The sequence below is a fragment of the Homo sapiens genome, chromosome 5, assembly GCF_000001405.40.
Source record: "Homo sapiens chromosome 5, GRCh38.p14 Primary Assembly".
Lineage (NCBI taxonomy): Eukaryota > Metazoa > Chordata > Mammalia > Primates > Hominidae > Homo > Homo sapiens.
The window spans coordinates 51,409,119-51,428,961 of NC_000005.10; the positions used below are offsets into that span (position 1 = coordinate 51,409,119).

The 19,843-nt window shown below is 35.8% G+C and overlaps 2 pseudogenes; both read right to left on the reverse strand.

Moving 5' to 3' along the window:
* Positions 1 to 298: 298 nt before the first annotated feature.
* Positions 299 to 1,101, reverse strand: HMGB1P47 (high mobility group box 1 pseudogene 47; annotated as a pseudogene).
* LOC105379196 (protein mago nashi homolog) lies at positions 18,795 to 19,319 on the reverse strand (annotated as a pseudogene).
* Between the last annotated feature and the right edge of the window lie 524 nt (positions 19,320 to 19,843).

Sequence of the window (19,843 nt, forward strand, 5' to 3'; positions counted from 1 at the left end):
GCGACAAAGTGAGACTCCATCTCAAAAAATAAATAAATAAATAAATAAACCTTACTTACTTAGGAGCATTCAGAATGTCAACAAAAGAACTGCAAGAACTGCAACTTTTTTTTTTTTTTTTTTTTTTTTGCAATTACAGGGTAGTATTCTGTTAACAGAACAACAATTATTTCCTAATATAAGCTGCATCAGAGACAACTGAAGATGACAACACTACTATCCCCATATAAAACTAATTTGTGCTGTGCACCAAGAAGAACATGCTTTAAATTTCCACACCAATTTACAACCCCCACACTGTACCAGGCAAAGTTAATGGCTATTAGACAGGTCTATCTAAAGACACATTCAACAGTGCGCTGACTATACACAAAATGAATAGTTTAAAAACAAATCTTAGTCTTAGATTTCAGTTTTTTTTCCTTAAAAGGAGGGAGTTGTATACAGGGGGGTTAAATGTTTTATAGACAAAGGAGAAAAACTGTTAGAACCATCTTATTCATCATCATCTTCTTTTTTATTTTCATTTTCCTCCTCTTCCTTCTTTTTCTGGCTTTTTTCAGCCTTAATAACTCCCGTTTTTGTTGCATCAGGCTTTCCTTTAGATTAGTATACAGCAATATCCTCTTTGTAATTTTCCTTCAGCTTTGCAGCCTTCTTTTCATAAAGCTTCTTGTCATCTGCAGCAGTGTTATTCCACCTCTGCCAGTTTCTTTGCAACATCACCTACACATAGGCCAGGATGTTCTTTGATTTGGGGGTGACAATCATAAGAGAACAATAAGGCCAAAGGAGGCCTATTGGGTGCACTGGGATCCTTGATTTCTTTTTTGTTTCCCCTGCAGGAGGGATATTTGTTTTCATTTCTCTTTCATAAACTGACCTTGTCTGCCTTTGCCCTATCTTCAGATTTCCCTTTCTGTTTTGAACCCATGGTCTTTCACCTCTCTAAGCATTTCTTAGAAAATTCTGAGAAGTTGACGGAAACATCTGAGTGCTGCTTCTTGTGCTGTTCTTGGCAAGATTTCATGAAGAATGCATATGATGACATTTTGCCTCTTGGCTTCTAAGGCTCTCCTTTGACCATGTTTAGTTATTTTTTCTCAGTGAAGAAGAGTTGTCCAGGGACTGTCCAGCTCTCACTTGTCCTGGCACTTAACTCTGTAGAGCTCAGTGTATAGCAATGGCTGTCTCACAAAGCAATTTTTACTGTTGACATGCAATAAGGCAAACCCTAAAAAGTGTTGAGTGTTGCTTTTGAGATCTTTAATCATTTTTTTCCTGGAAAAGGAAACCCTCCAGGTCTTTAAAAATGTGACTGTTCCAGTTACAACAGTTCTGATGCTTATTATCGCACTCTAAGTCTGGCTAGATGGATCACTTTCAAGTTTCTGGAATGTACCATGGTCGTTTTTTTGTTTTTTTTTTTGGTTTTGTTTGCTTTTTTGTCTTCTTTTTATTTTTTTTCCCTTTCACCCTCTACAGGGATTTTTTTCCTACCATGCAGCATTCATCTGCCTTTCCTATCTCTTCCTTTAATTTCTCAGTTCAGTTGCCAGTTTTTCAAGAAGCAGAGGTCTTGGGCTCTTGTAACAGACTGCATTTGGCAGTTTGCATATTTGTATTCCTGACATGTCTGTAGGTTCTCAAAGTGTTTTTTTTTTTTTTCAGCTTTGTATCTCACAATCTTTGTACCATTACAATGCATGGAAGATACTGAAATATTTATTTACTGGATATGAACTAAAGTATGAGTGAATATCAGACCTTCCAATGGCAGATGAAATCTGTACTGCTTTATTAAAGGCTATGGTCAAGGGAAGAAACAGAAAAGAGGGCTACTTCAAAATGATGACTGGGACTTAAAGATTCTGAACAGCAGAGAGACGAGGGAGAGAGACAGAGACAGACAAAAGAGAGAGAAAGGAGAGAGAGAGAGAGAAAGAGAGAGAGAGAGAAAGAGAGGCTGTAACAAAGGTTAAGAGCATGGAGTCAGGCAGTCTGGGATATGAATACTTGCTGTTTGACCTTGGGCATGTTACTTAGTTTCTCTGAACCATAGTTTCCACATGCAGGAGAAATGCTTGCAGGATAAATCTGATGTGTACCTACTAGGCAATAAACCCTATATGTGGGATTGTTATTATTGTTATTAAGAAGGGTATGAGAAAAGCTTTATTCTCTTGAATGAATTTACTTGGTGTTCTTTGCATCTTTCTTTTTTCTCTCTGTTCAGATGGATGCTAAATCTTTATGTTTTTCCCTAAAGATGAAGTGGGAAATACTTTGTGTTTTTACATTTGATTTCTTTCTTTTTTCACTGTTTCTGTTTCCTTCATGAGAATGCTTGTATACATATATTAATACTTTTGTGGTTTCCTTTAACTGAGGAGAATATGCAACATGAAAGGGATTTTAGCAAATAATTAAAGGATAGTTTACAAAAATCATAGCACCTTACCACAACCCATTTCTTTTATGTGTATTACTTGCCACGGGCACAGATTCCTACATAGTTATGATTATTATATGTATTTATAGTGTTTTGCTCTTTTTGCTTAATATCCCAGAATAAATATTGTCCATGTGCACCTCTACAATGAAAACCATCTTGGGAAAATGGCTTTGTTGCATCAGTTGTCCCTTAAGTGTTTCTCATTGGTTCCCACTGTACAGTCTAAACACAATATTTCATCTAACATTATGCATGTTTCATTATTTCATCACATTTCTTGTGGGATAGATCCCTAACCTTTTAATTATGGTGAAATATTCAAAAGGTTAGTCAAACAACCTTCAAAGGAGCTTCTGGTACAATGTAGTAGCAGAGGCTTATTGTCCCTGGCTTAAAACTGATTATGTGAAAGAATAGTGTGCACCTCTAGAAAGGCTAGCAATTCTGCCATCAGATAAATGATTGCAGCCTTCAGTGGGCTGGCTCTCCCTTTATTTTCGCCACTGGTTGTGGAGCTGGGAAACAGATGCCTGTATGGAGAATGAGGGCCCAGACTTTTTTTTTTTTTTTTTTTTTTAAGTGAAATGTCAAACTATGTGACTATGCCCGGCGGAAGACGACCCCCTGCGAGATGTGATAAGCCCCAGGCCTGCTCCACACACTACACTGAAAATGCCGTGGGAGGGCTTCCCAGGCTGATGGAACTAATGACAGTAATAGCTCCGGGTAATTTGTCTTTTTTCTTACTGTGCACATTCTCTACATGTGGTGCACTTTACACCTACCACCAGGCACACATCTGGAATGCTATGACCCTCTCAGGCCTGATTCAGATAGGTTGAATTCTCCTGTAAAGTAAATCTGACCTCTAATTTTCTTAATAATTCAGGATTATGCTAATGTTACTCAGCAACCATTATAGAATGGTGCAGGAATACCTAAGAAAGCTTAAGCCCTTGTACTGGAAGCATGACAAAGGTTTCTTTGCCTATTTGGCTATAATGTTTCCCCTCTGTCATTCTAGTAGAGAAAATATAAATTTTGAAAAGTGTATTATTTACATTATTTATTCATTGTTTCAAGTCGTAGGACATCCTCTACTTAAGAAGAAATTTTGTTTCCTTTCTTTGGTGTACAGATTTTCTACTAAGAATTTATAAGACTACTAATGAAAGGTTTGGGTTCTTAATTCTAACTGTAAAAAATACTTAGATAGTAAAAGAGACTGACAAAATAATTTCAAGGATGGATAAAACAGACTTCACAGCAGCTTAATCTCATCAATGCAGAGTGCTCTTAGGAAGATTTTAACAATAAAAATCCTATTTTAGTGCTGGCTCCATAGCAAGATTGTACATTTAATATTGTATTTATATCCTGTATTTTCTGTATTTATGTAAAAATAGCTATATTATTTAAAGTGTAAACATCTGAACATATCTTTTAGAAAAACATAAATGATCTTAAGTTTTAAGAAATGTTCACACTACATTAAAAAGATAGGCTCTTCAATCCTCCCTCTCTGTGAATAAAAAGAGAATAAAAGTTCTCCATAAATTAGTATGTGCAAGATTCCCCCAGAGAGCAAAATATTTTCAGCCATTGTGGAGGTATGAGAACCACATGTTTGCCTGGAAAAAAAAAGTATGCTCTTTACTATGGATTTCTGAATCATTCTGTCAAAATATTTGTAGTTATTTCTAAGTTATAAATAGACAATTAATTTTATTACTTTTTTCCTTTAATTCATATCACTAGGAAGGTACTAGTGAAGAATTTTTTCCCCCTGCAGACTAAATATTATACACAGAAATATAACAAATGAAAAATTGTTTATATGGGTCAATAATTTATGTTTCTCACAAACAATGTAGATATTGTAAACTTCTTTCTACAAGTAATATCTATGTAATTGACCAATAACAAGGTAATAGTTTATCAAGAATGCTAGTCTCTCTCTCCGCACCTCTGACCACCAACTCAGTTACTCAAACTCCACCCCAGTTTGAAGGCAGAAAAGTGTGCATATCTAAGTATTGGGTTCTCCTAGAATTTAATCATGGACTCAGACCACTCCAGAAAACTCCATGTGTACCTGCTGGATGGATGGTACAGATGGACTGTAGAAGAGATCTTTTTCCCCGCTAACTTAGATATCCTAAGAGGTATGTCCCTACCCAGACACACTTATGGAAAAATCAATCCAATTAGAGGGAGAAATGAGGGAGGAATGGCATGCCGAGTGTCCCACTGCCCTCTCAGTTCCATTCCTTCTTGTCAGGCATGAGCCTTTTGGAAGGATTGCTCTAGGAAAGTAAGTAATGACCACCATTATCCCTGGGTGAAGCAAAGCAGGCTGCAGAAGGACTGCTAGACAGGCTAATTGTGACAGGTATACTGTATTGACCCTTCCTGGGCCATGTTCCTTTGGGCATGATTTGTGCACAGAGTGGATCATTTGGCCTATATGACAGATTGTGTGAAGTACAGTTACTGACTGCTGCTTAGCTCATGGGTTTGGAATTAGATGAAAGTTTGAAACGTTTTGAATATAACACTCTCTTTTATACCTAATGCTTTACAATATTTGATACAAAATCTCCCCAAAGAACAACAACAAATTAGATGATAACTGTGTGACTTCAGCAGAATCTGCACAGGCTGAAAAATCAGTCAGTGCATTTCACTGAATTATATGATAATCCAGTAACAAGAAATCTGCAAGGACACATGGCTCATGATAACGCCAAAGTTGATGACACCGGCTGTTATTACCAATACCTCCAGTTTGTTAAGCTAGGGACCTCACATGCATCATCTTACACAGCTCCTTACAACAGCTCCAAGTAGCCCACATTGTTATAGAGAAGGGAGCTGAACATCAGAGAGGTGCATACAGGGACAAGAATAAGATATGAACCGAGATTTGTCTGACAGCCAAGCCCTCAGCTCATCCTGTCCCTCATCCTCTAGTCCACACTCCGTCCTTCTCCCTGCCCACTTCCCCAGCTCTTGGTGGTTTTATTCTCGATAGACAGCAGAGTGCCAAGAAAGCAAGAGTCTGTAGAAACAATCAGGTATACAGGGCCTTGATCCTGGTTCTGTCAGTTCAATGACTGTGCAGTTACCCAACCCCTCCAGATCTCCCTGTTGTCATCCATAAACCACAAACAAGCCCAACTCATAAGAATGTTGTTGAGAAGACTAAGTGAGAGAATGATGTAAACTGCTGAGCATAGCACCTGGTGTACAGTCAGCACTCAGTGAGGGCTATCCACTAATTTATAATGATAAACCTCTCTGTCAAAGTTTAAAGTTTTTTTTTTTTCCTTTAGGAATCTGAAGTAGAGGTGTTTATAAAAATATATCACTTTTCTTTAGAAGCCTTATAAAATTGAAATACGCTTATACATAAAGGTATATTTATTTACATTTTTATAAAACATAACCTCTTAGGATGCTCAACACTTTTTGAACACAGTTTTTATAAGTAAAATAGTACTTTGGAATATTTTTCTTTAAACCAATTTCTTTCATTTGGAAAAATGGTAAGTGTGACATTTTGATTTAGAAAGTATTTAAGGTTTTATAGCTGATTTAGCTGATTCTTGAGAAATGTTGATAGTCATTTATCTTGTGTGGTCTTCCTCTCACTACCGTCTTTCCCTGAGAGGGACTTCCTTGCATATTTAGGATAGTATGGGGTTGTTAACTAGCCCTTAAGAGAAGAGCACGTAATGGGCAAGCACTGTGTTCTGGATCCTATCCACTGCTATATTTTCATTGAGTCATAGATTCAGCATATGTCTTAACAATGCCTAAATTACAGAAATATGAAAAAAAGGCCTGTTGACCTAAAGCAGCTTCTTGCTGAGTAAAGGAGCTGAAGCATTATATATAAACAGATATAAACCTATGCACAGGGGAAAAAACTGAGTTCACAGGAGGAAGGAATCACTTCCCTGAAGGGAATAGGCTTCATGGATGGGTGATTTGTGAACTTGGTTATAGAGCAGGCATGATTTAGATAAAGATAAGGGGAAGACATTTCAGGTGGAGAAGGAAGGAATAAAATGAACAAAGGCACGGGAGTGATAGGGCCAGGGCTGTGTGCAGGAGACAATGGGAGTCCTGCTCCATTGAGCACAGGGGTGTTTTTCATCTTGAGTTTATAACAGAATCACCCACAGAGATTATTCAATGTATGCATTCCCAGGATTCACCCCAACCTTCCAAGAGTCTGTTTAGTCACTCTGGGGTGAGGCCCAGGAATCAGCGTGTTTAACATGGACCCCAGTTAATTTTGATAGAACCACTGAGAAGTACAAACATTGCTGAGTCACAGGAAGAAATGGAATGGCTGGAGGGTAGGCAAATGGTTCTAGGCCCAAACAGGGCAGTAGGGTCACACACAGAGCCTGCTTGCTCTTTTTCTCCTTCCCTCCCTTCTTTCCTCTCCCTTCCTTCTTTCCTTCCTTCCTTCCTTCCTTCCTTCCTTCCTTCCTTCCTTCCTTCCTTCCTTCCTTCCTTCTTTCTTTCTTCCTTCCTTCTTTCCATCCTTTCTTTCAGTACCTGAGTCCCAGACCAATTAAGTTAGAATCTCTGGAGGTGGGGCCTTTGTATCAATACACGTTTTTTAAACTTTTTGTTATGAAAAATTTTAAATATATACAAAAGTAGGCAGAACAGTATAGTGAATGCTCATGCACCCATCACCTAACTTCAATAATTGCACACTCACAGACAGTCTTGTTTCATTTGTACCGCTACAGCTCCCCCTACCTTCTATATTATTTTGAAGCCAATCTCTGAGATTATAATACTCCATCCATAACATTTCAATATGTATCTCTAAGTACAGACTTTAAAGTGCCACAATACCATTACTACACATTAAAAAACAATAATTTTTAAATATCGTCAACTGCCCAGTGTTCTAATTATTTTACTCTTTCATAAATATGGGTTTGTGTATGCTTGTATCAAAACTCTCATGTACACCATAAATATGAACACCCACAATGTACCCACAAATTTTTAAACATTAATTTAAAAATTTATACAATACTTTTGATTCATATTTATCACTATGGGGTTTTATTTTGGTATCTCCTTTTTTCCAGGTTTCCCCAGAATCCCAGCTCTCAGTGACTCTAGGAATATTAGAATGAGATTATATAATGAACCATTTGCTTTGTCCTACAATGCACAAATGGAAGTTTTAGATTAACAATATTAATAATATATTTTCTAATTATCTTACCACTGGAAAGTATTTGTAAAAAATTCTTTTTGTTCTAGTGCTTATGTCACTAGAGGAAGACAGCCAATTTGCTCTGTTTTAAAGTTACTTTGAATCATTTCTCTGTTTGATTACACCAACTGATTATATGTCAAGGCTCATCTATTTTATTTTATTTTCATTTTTAGAGATGAATTTATAAACTCAATTTTGTTTTATAATAATATATAGAATATTTACATATATAATAACATATAGAATATTTAAATTTTGCAAATTTAAATTTGCAAAACAAATTATTGTCAAAGTAATCAAGCCTGTTCCTCCCATCTGCTTCCTCTCTCTATAGATCATCATTTAAACAATGTATGGTTTATCATTTCATTGTTTGTTTTCAGTAAATAATTATAAAACTCTCCCTGCTTCTTGTAAGAATCTCTCCCTTCTTACAAGAAGTCAGATTGGAGATTCCTTACTGCAGAAAATGATGAGCTAGAATATTTGTCTTATGGAGCTGGACTTTTTACACCATTTATATTTTCTACATCTAGATTAGTGGCTGGTACCTTTCAGGTGATCAGTAAATATTGAATGAGTGGATGAATTCTTATTTAAAGTTTGCAATCAGAAGAGTGAGAGGACCAAAATTCTATTTTTTTTTGACAAGTTAATCTGATAGCAGTGGTTAAGGGGGTTAGAAATACTGAAAAGTGGATGATCAGTTTGGAGACTTATTTAGTTAACTGGATGGCAGTAATTTTGAATAAGGAAACAAAAAGCTGAAGTGTGTGTGTGTGTGTGTGTGTGTGTTTTGTGTGCTTTTGCTGTGAAACAAAACACTCCACAACTTAATGCTTAAAACAACAACCATTCACTTCACAGTTTTGTGGATTGGCACATTTCTTTGTCTAGGATGGCTCCATAGGTGTCTGTGGGGTTCACTCAGGTGTCCTTGGTCAGGTGGCAAGTGCTGGCCTCACATCACGGGCAGTTGGCAGGGTGGTGCCTGGGGGCTGTCTGATGGTTGTCTGTGTAATCTCAGTTCTCTCCCTTGAGGTCTTTTATCTTTCATCTTCCAGCGGATAGCTTTGATTTTTTTCCATTGGTGGTGGTCTCAGGACACCAGGTATAGCAAAAGGCCGGTAAGGTGCAGGTGTTTTTCAGACCTCTGATTGTGTTCTGTTTGCTGATTGGCCCAAGGACCACCACAGTGACAACATTGATGTAAAAGGTAGAGAGAAATCACCACAGTTAAAATGGCTTGTCTCCAAAAGACAGGCAGTAACAAATGTTGGCAAGGATATGGAGAAAGGGGAACTCTTGTTTACTGTTGGTGGGAATGTAATTAGTACAACCACTATACAGAACAGTTTGGTGGTTCATCAAAAGACTAAAAATTGAGATACCTTATGATCCATCAATCCCACCACTGGGTATATGCCCACAAGAAAGGAAATCAGTATATCAAAGATCTGCATTCCTGTGTTTGTTGCAGCACTGTTTACAATAGTTAAGATTTGGAAGCAACCTAAGTGTCTATCAACAGTTGAATGGATAAAGAAAATGTGGTACTTACATACAATGGAGTACTACTCACTCATAAATGAGAATGAGATCCAGTCATTTGCAACAACATGGATGGAACTGGAAATCATTATGCTAAGTGAAATAAGTCAGGCACAGAAAGAAAAACATTAGATGTTCTCACTTATTTGTGGGATCTAAAAATTAAAACAATTTAACTCATGAACATAGACAGAAGAAAGATGGTTACCAGAGGTTGGAAAAAGCAGTACGGGGCTGGAGGGTAGGTAGGGATGATTAATGGGTACAAAAAAAAAGTAGTTAGAAGAATGAATAAGACCCACTATTTGATAGCACAATAAGGTGACTGTAGTCAATAATAACTTAATTGTACATTTAAAAATAACTTAAAGAGTGTAATTGGATTCTTTGTAACTCAAAGGGTAAATGCTTGAGGGGATGGATACCTCATTCTCCATGATGTGCTGATTTCACATTGCATACTTGTATCAAAACATCTCATGTAAATACATACACCTACTATGTACTGACAAAAATTTAAAAAGAATGAAATGTAGAAAGAGAGAGACTAGCTCTTGATGGAGAGGGAAGAATTTGTAGCCACTTTCAATTTCCCATTTTGTGGGATGTGTGTAAAACAGATATGTGAATGAACTCAGTTACTCCTCATAGCTTTTGGTTGCAAGAACCTTATATTATTATTAATTTCTACTTCTGTGTCCTTTCTTGTGTCCTTTCCTGAAACGTTTCTCATCCACATAGTGCCTTTTGAGTTCCATACCCTCCACAAAACATTCTTTTACTAATTTTTCACTTGAACATTTCACTAAACATTTATTTAGTATTTCTGGTTTTTCATTTGGTAATTTTCTTTTTATTTGTGCTATTTTACATGTTCCCCTTGTTTTCTAATTTTTTTGTGTATGCGTTTCCTGAGTTCTCACCCAATTCATCTTATTTTGCTATTGTAACACACAATAAAGTTAGACTAGTACTAAAATCTAAGTACTCTATAATGATTGTTACTTGAATTGGGGATTGACTAAGATAATCCTTCTAGAATTGGATATTGCCAAAACTGTCTTTACTTTGGTTTTTCATGGGTATGTCTAATTCTGATTTTGCCATGCCTAAGTTAAAAACATCTGGTTGAATTCAGTAGAATCCCTGATTTTAAGCATTTTGACGACTGGATTGAATCTGTTAAAAAGAATATACTTGTGATTGGTTATGTATAATTGTGTTTTGGTCTGTAATAAAACCATTTAAAAGTAAGACATATACAATACCCTTGCTAAGCCATGTATGGCTGAGATGGGCTCTAGCAGTGGTCCGGAGTGGTTTTAAAAAAAGGCGTGCACACACACACACACAAGCAGCAGAGACTGTAATGACTAGAGTGTGTGTTATTGGGAGAACCTCCTTTAATTTCTTTTAAGGCTAGGCCATATTGCGGGGGTGGATCTCAAGAAGGGTTGGTCGTGTTTATGTGAGGTGGAGAATCAAGATGAAGGCTAAGAGAAAAAGAGAAAAGGAGGAAGAAAAGAGAAAAGTAGTGCAATGCTTAGGACATCATTATCAACTTATATGTGGCTCTGATTTAGTTTCCTGTGGTCTGGGAAAGAGTACTCAATAATTCTCAGAGGAGAAAGGACTAAAGAAGTCCTTTCCTTCTCATCCTTACTGAAAATTTTAGACAAGAGTGAAACAAGGGGAGATGTTGCTGAGAGAGGTGAGTCAGAAATCTTTATAGGTCCTAAGGAGAGGCAGAAGGGGAGGTGAAATACAATTTGTGTGAAACTCTTCCCATAAACCATTAGAGCTCTTTGCACCATGATTGAAGAGATCCGTACACAATTAGGGGTGAAGTAAACTCAAGTGAAACTTGCCTATGAGGTCTGGCTTTCGTAGGTTGTTTGTTAAATGCTCAACCATTTGGAGGGTAGGGTGGTGGGTGTATTGTAAATTGTGCAATTTTTCTGAATAATGAAAGATATACAGAAAGTTCATTTTGTGTGTCTGGAGGCTGTCAACCTAGACTAAAGTGAACCCCAAAAGTCTACATTGATCTCCCGTAGAGGAAAAGGACCATAAAGGAGTTATTTTATATATATATATATATATATATATATATATATATATATATCTATATATATATATATCTATATATACACACACACACACACACACACACACATATATATACACACACATATATATGTATATATATATGGAAAGAAATTAAATGCAACAAAATCCATAGCAATTCATCATTGAGAGCTGCATTAGAGTACAGAGTGTAACGGATGCTATCTTTGTCAATAATTGTTGTAGATTGCTTGTCAACAGATTGGATTGTTTATCATGGATGTTGACAAACTACAGTATAAGATCCTTGAACTTGTTATATATGTTTTAAATATTTATATAAATATACATGTGCACATGTGTATTTTGGAGACTAAAGTTTTTATGCAATATAAAATTTCAGAATTTGTGTAATAAGGCTTAAGATATTTTTACTAAATGATAGAACTTACCACAACATTTACATACTCTATCATCCAATCATCTTGGTTTTAATGAAAATATTTGTCTTAAATATTTTGAAAGTAAAGCATCTTCATTGAATCAAAACTGACATTTTAATTTGAACTTTCCACTCTGAATAGAATTTGCAGTCCAAACTTGTCAGGAAGAAAACTCAATGAAATGAAAAATAATTTTATGCTGGATAACTCTAAAAATATCCAGAATAGAATTCTAGTGACAGTATAGTTTAATATTAAGTTGGCTTCTTTTACTGCCATGCAGAGATTAAGTGGAAGCCAACTTTCAGTATAGCAGAAAAGGCCATGGACTTTAAGAAGAATTACATTTATGATAGAGCTGTCTCCCTTATTTATGAAATGACTTAGTTCAAGTCACTTGGTCTTAAGACAATATTGTATGGAAAATTACAAATAATATGGAAATATAAGATTATTGAAGATATACTTTACATGTTTTCTAATAAATGGTATTGTTTATAAGTAGGGTTATATACAAATCAATATACATTCATTTCCATTATGTTTTCTATTGTAAAAGGACTATATGGTAAAGGTAAAGAATGCAGAAAATTAAAACAAGCAAAAAGAAGAAATCAAGAATCACCCAAAATAATTCCAAATAATTATTATCACATGTCTATATAATTTTCATCTAAATTTTTATATGTGCATGTAGTTTTTTAAACTATGCTTTCTTCTTTATCTGCTGTTGTTGTGATGTACAATATTCAATATGTTTTGTTGCTTTTCCCTTAACGTTATATTATGATCATGTTTTTTGGACCATGTTTGTACATTATTGAATTGTATAAATTAATATATACTACTTAATGTGAATAAGCCATAATTTACAATTCATTTAACCATTTCCATATTAATTGAACACAAATGTAATGATATTTCCAATCTATAAGAGGTGAATATTCTTTTGTATTAACTCTTGAATATGTTCTTTAGTATTACTGGATGAAAGAATAAACATTTTGAAGCTTTTGATATAAATTGGGAACTTGCCTTACAGGCAGACTAGCAGTGTGTAAAGATGCCTATTTCCCCACATCCTAGTCAATGTATATGTGTATATATATATATATATATGTATATACCAGTTGTCATTCATTCTACTTTTGTTCCACAATGTTTTTGTATTAACTCTTTGGGTAGCTTTACATATTAAGGTTATGAATCCTTTGTCGTATATGTTTTTCTATGTTTTAATTTGCCCAGCTTTACTGAGGTAGAATTGACTATTAAAATTGTATATATTTAAGGAGTACCTCTTGATGATTATGTATATATGTATAATATATAGTGAAATAGTCACGAAAATCCAATATATGCCTTTAACTTGTGTTTATAATGCTTTTAAAAATGGTGTATGTGTTTCTAATTCATAGGTAGTAACGCTTTATTTGTCTAGCATTGTCTAAGAATGAAGAATTCTATCTGAATAAAGTCTCTGGATCATTGAGGCTTATAGTTTTTAATGCAAAACCTTAAACAGAGAAAAACATCTCTTTTTTTTTTTTTTTTTTTTTTTTTGAGACTGAGTCTTGCTCTGTCGCCCAGGCTGGAGTGCAGTGGCGCGATCTCCGCTCACTGCAAGCTCCGCCTCTCAGGTTCACGCCATTCTCCTGCCTCAGCCTCCCAAGTAGCTGGGACTACAGACGCCCGCCATCACGCCCGGCTAAGTTTTTTGTATTTTTAGTAGAGACGGGGTTTCACCGCGTTAGCCAGAATAATCTCGATCTCCTGTCCTCGTCATCCGCCCGCCTCGGCCTTCCGAAGTGCTGGGATTACAGGCGTCAGCCACCGCGCCCGGCCAAAAAGAGAAAACTTTTAAGTGAAAAATTAAGTTATTCTAAATTGTATTATCCATCTCTTTGCCACCTTACGCAACGTGTACTAAATACGCTTATGTGCCAGGCACTTCACACATATATTTGGTCTTCATAACAACCTTGTGAAGTAGTTATTGTTATCTCCCTTATCTGCTGGGGCCACTGAGGTTACAGAGTGAGTGAACAATTTTCTGAGGCTCACACAGCTTATGAGAGGAAGACCTTGATTGGAGACTAAGCCTAGATCCATTGCTTTTTATACACTCAACACACTCCCATTGTGTGTAAATATTCTGAGTCCCTCAATGTCTACATAAATGTTTAGGGCTATATTTGCATGATACTGGCTTTTGAGGTTCATTATTACTTCCTTAAAATTTGTTTTTTATATGTGCCTCCTCAATCACCTGGCTGAGGCAAGGTGACTCTAAATGGCCTGTTCTTAGCTGATAATGGCAATGCTAACAAATAAACATTTATAGAAGAGCCACTGTGTGCCAGCCAAAGTGATGGGTGCTCTGAGCTTTCCCCTACCAATGTTTCACTTTGCTAATCTTAGTCTGTTGTAGCGTGGAAAACAGATAACCAGATTTGTTAAGAGCTATGTACCAAAAAATGAATAAAACATTTTTTGAACAGAAGTCTGAGAGACTTTTCTATAGTAAAGCTCATGCGTTTGTTTTGTTTCAACCTGCTTCTCTCAGATATATCAGTATTTGTGTCACTATCTGCACTAAACACTTTAGTGACTTTATCTCATTTAGTCCTTAGTATAATACTACAGATTAGAATTATTATTCATTTTCATTTTACAACTAAGTGCACTTAAGTTTGAAGAAAATAAATAATTTACGCAAGATTCTGTTTCATAGAGTTTATGGTTTCTGTTTGGAACTCTTTGTCTGCTGATTTTCAGCTGGGTTGTCGGATAAGTAACTTTAAAATAACCTATGAGTTACTGTATCAAAGCATTCAATGGTAGGGCCTGCCTGGAGAATGTCAAAGATGGGAATATGGTCAAACTTTTTGTTTATGTGTGTCAAGCTATAAAGAAAACCTATGTGTTTTAAAATAAGGTTGAATTTAATGCAACAGCATGATAGCCAGGCTGAGAGTGTGTATTCTTTGCTGAAAGACAAGTGTCCACTTCTTTGCTAAAGATACTACGAGTGTAGCAAAAAATAAGTTTCCTAATATGATGAGAATGTTTATATAGAACAAAGTACACAGAACTTACAATAGTAGAATAGTGACAGTGATGCTTCAATTCAATATGAATTTGTTGAATGATTATTATTACACTCAGAACCATATCATATGATAGAGTTAGGGGAGATGTAAATATAATTGGACAAAAAGCACTAAAATTTTGGATAACTATACATTACAGAATAAAGTTGCTATGCATACCTGTAGTACCAGTGGCTGTCACTTCAAATTTATTCTTAGTAAAGGAAATTTCAAATCAAAATTCTTAAATACATAATCTAAGAAGTACTATTTACTCATTTTTAATGGGGTTTTGATAAAGAAAGGATAGTGGAATGAGAGATAACTTTTTCAGTTTAGGGGGGATTACTATTGTATTGGTTGGAGGTGTTTTGTAGCAACAAACAAATCTGACTCTTGATAACCAGAGTTAAACAGAGATACTGAGTAGAGGTCAGAACAGAAAGCAGAGCTTAAAAAGCTGTTCTTTGGAATAAAGGAACTAGGGGAGAACTGAGGGTCCAGGAAGTAGGAATTACCATCACCAGTGCAATAATTCAGCTCCAACTGTTTACTGTCTCTGTTTCATTCTGCCAAAGAATAGTTATCTGATGTGTTAAAATCATTGTGAGGTGGTTAGAGAACTTATTTGTGTCTTCCTCAGTCAGGAGCTCAATTCATAAATGATTTTAGTTATTTGTATCATAATCAGGACTTGTGATCAGAAAGTCAAATCAAAGGGCTTAAGATGAAAGATCTAAATTGTTAAGAATCATTGATTTATTCTACACATCATCTTGACTGCTCTTGCTGATTTTTCTGTTCTGACTGCCCTGGCTGTCCTAGACCATGTGCACCCACCTCTCTGTCACATTGGCTTTGACCACACACCAGTCTAGACCTGTGGTGGGGTCTGTGGTATGCCAAGCTGATTCCTAGCTACGGTTCCTCATGGTTGGTCCCCCTTATTTTTCCAACAATTTTCCAGACTTAGTCAAATATATTTGGCTTGGGGTTTAATCTGGTACTTCACTGAAGAGAGAATATTATTGGTAATACTAATTCCTCCTCTCCCTTCAAAGCAAAAAGGCACACATATTACTTACATATATGTACTGCTCTAATTTTTACACGTGCTCTGATCAGTAAAAACGGGAGGCAATATACCATTGTAGCTAAAAGCATGGAATCTGGAGCCAGTCTGCCAAATTCAAATCTTAGGTCCACCTCATACTGTTTGACCTTGGGCAAGTCACTTACCCCCTTCAAATCTTAATTTTATTATGTATAAAACGTAATAATAGTATAGCCTAACATTTAGGATTGCCATAAATATTAAAAGAATTCCTCCGTATGAAATTCTTATGTCTGTTCATGACACATATAGTTCCATATATACATTAACTGTCATTATTAGTGAAAAATTCAAACGAATCCTGGTCAGTATCAGAGAATCTTAGGCTCACTCAAAATAGATGGAATCTTATTTCTAATAAGAATTAATAATTTAAAAAACTATAAATGTCTTAATATTTAAAATTTCAAATCAAAATTCTTAAATACAAAATCTAAAAAGTACTATTTATTCATTTTTAATTTTATTCTAATTTGTCAAAGTTATTAATTGTCCTTTATGAAAGTATACTATTAATTTGAAGTGTTCAAAAATGTTCTGAACATTATGGGATTTCTACCTTAAATCATTAGATAGCCACAACCACTCATTGTAAAAAGCTAGTGAATATTACATATATATTTCTTCTATCATAGTATTGTAGAATCCATACATATTTTCAAAGAGTAATTTCATGAAACCAAGGCCAAGGCAGGAAAAATGAGCAACTAATATAGTTATAAGAGGCCTAAATGGGCAACTTATGTGGTGCAAAGAGGCCTAGCGTTCCCTTTTCACCAAGTCAGACCACCCAATCCATGTTAGAGTTAGGTGGCCCACCTCCATTTTGCTCGAATAAAGAGAAACATATTTTAAACTTTAGCAGTGTACTTATGTATAAAAGGTGCTGTGGGGGTCTACTTTACATGGCATAACTCTTTCCATCTTGACCTGTGGTATGATACGGTGCCACACTTGGACTTAAAACCCTTCAATGGGGCTGTGTCATCTAGAGGATAAAGATTCAACCCTTTAGCTCACATACCCAGCCTTCTTGGAGTTACAAAGTGCTTGGAATTCTTAAAAGGGGCCATGCATTTTTTTTTGTTGTAAATGCTGGCCCTTCCACCTAGAATGCCTTTATGCTTCTTGTTTGCCTGGAAAAATCTTACCCATTACTTCTTAACTCAAATGTCATACATTCAGGGAGACTTTGCAGATAACCTGTTAAAGCTAAATGCTTCTGATTTGGAAGCACCTCTTCATCGTCTTGAGACATTTATCTCATTGCTATAGGAATTGGTTTACAGGACCCCTATCAAACTTCAAACTCCATGAGATAATCATATAATCTATAGTATTTACTGAAATTCCTGGCAGTATTAACAATAGCAATAATACAAGCCATCATTTACTAGGTATTTATTACATAGTAGGCACTGTGCTGTTTTACCTAAATTATCTAGTTTAGATTATCTCCATTTTGAAAATGAGGAAATTAAGCCAAAGGGGTGGTAAGCCTGCTCATAAGGTTACATAACTAGTGGGGACTGAGACTTGGTTATTTAGCAGTTAACAAACACTCTCCCACTTCTCAGTGGTTTACAATCACTGGGGTTCATTCCTTACCCCTATTCCATGTTTATGGCACACTGGCTATCATTTTGCTTCATGATCTCTTCACTAGGGAACCCAAGCTCACAGAATTAATGTTTTATCTAAAATATTTTCAGGTATATGACAAAGATAAGAAGACATCCTGATAAACCATGGTGCACTGGCTCTTAAACATTCTACCCCGAAGTGAAAAATGTCACTTGCTCACACTTCATTAGCGAGATCAAGGCTAATCATGCTATCATAGGGTGGAGTAGTTGGATCTTTCCCCAGAGAGTAGCAGGGAGCACCCTGAACAATAATATAGTCTACTACAGATATTAATTCAGACTTTCCAGACTCTAGGGCCATATTTAACCCCTATGCTATATATTCTCCTACTACATATCTATTTGTGAATAAACACTACCAAATAGATTTCAGCTTTCCAATCTTCTAATAAGAGAATGAATGGCAAAAATAATAGAAGAACAGTACATGTAAATAATGAAATGAAAACTATCCAGATGAACGAAATAGTCTATATTACTATTTAAGTACTACTTAAATGTCATTTTTTCAAGCCCATTTCCTGGTACATTCATTGGCCAATAGAAATGCAATGAGTTACATCCAAGTTGGTTGGCAGAGATTATCACTATTTACTCTCAAAGTGAGACAAATTTATTTCATTCAGAATTTGATAACAAAGCTATCAATCACTCTGTCTGAGGCTGAAGGAGGAACATCCATTTGTTCTCCAGATATAAAACAAATATTTTTTTTTTGCTTTTAATTTACAAGGATTCCAATGAAGAATAAAGGTTGCTCTTTGGAAGGAAGAAAATATACAAATTCCTTAAATAAAATCAATAAAAAGCAAAAAGAATTGTATACTAGCCCGTACTGGTATAGCATTCTTCCAGCAGAAGACCTCAGTCATCTGTGCTATATACTTGGACCACACAGTAATTAGTCTATTGAGAATATTAATGATTGTTGGAGCCTGAATTTTTTGTGAATTCTTTTTGCCATGGAATTTAGAATATATTCCAATACTTGTTAGTGATATATCAAAGTTAAATAGACAGATTTTATTTATTTGAAATAACATGTATTTTACAGTATCTTCAGAAATGACCTTTGAGGCCATTAGGATTACAAATAGGTTTTTAAGTTTACTTGTTATTTTTGTCACTATTTATTAGACACAATCATTTATAGTTTATGAAAAATATTATTCTGATGTACACAAAAATTTTCTGATAATGTTGATTAAAAACAGCTATATCCACCTTCTTTGCGTCCACATCAATGTTTAATCTAGATTGGCTTAATCTTGAAGTGTAATTCAGTAACAATGAAGACCAGATACTTCCTGGTCATGAACCAGATAACAAAATATTCTTAAGCCTTCTGGATCCTTGGATTGCTTAACATCAATAAGGGAACCAATTTTAGATGTTATAAAAGAAACGTGTTCATGTCCAATGACGATTTCAAGCTCCTCCTGGTGAGGCGGAGGCCACAGAGCGTCATACTATTTGGTAATTTCACTGCCATTAATTATTCTCTTCAGTTCCTCCATCATATTTTTATATATGTAAGCCTCTTTTCTGATGATGACATTATCCTTGTAATTACTGTTGTTGGCACATCTCAGTTTCTTGTCTGGTTGGAATTCAATCTCCAGGAACTCATGGTCGAATTTGTCCTTGTGACTCACGTAGTAATGTAGATAAAAGTTACTCTCACGGCTTGCAAAAGGCACCCAAGATCAAAAAGCAAACTGTACCTCTGTGGTCTGTGCCCTACTCAAATAGGAGTTTTTTGTTGTTGTTTTTTCTTGTTGTTGTTTGTTTGTTGTTGTTGGTTTTTTTTTTTTTGACAGAGTTTCGCTCTGTTGCCCAGGCTGGAGTGCAGTGGCCCGATGTCGGCTCACTGCAACCTCTGCCTCCTGGGTTCAAGCAATTCTCCTGTCTCAGCCTCCCGAGTAGCTGGGATTACAGGCGTGTGCCACCACGCTCAGCTACTTTTTTTTATTTTTATTTTTAGCAGAGACGTTGTTTCACCATGGTGGCCAGACTGGTCTCAAACTCCTGACCTCAGGTGATCCGCCCACCTCCGCCTCCCAAAATGCTGGGATTATAGGCGTGAGCCACCGCACTCGACCTCAAATAGGTTTTTAGAAGATTTGTTATGATATATTGAAAACACAGATAAATAAAGGATTTTCTTCTTATCACAATAAGATTCTCCATTTTCCTAAAGTGTATTAAATTATACCTC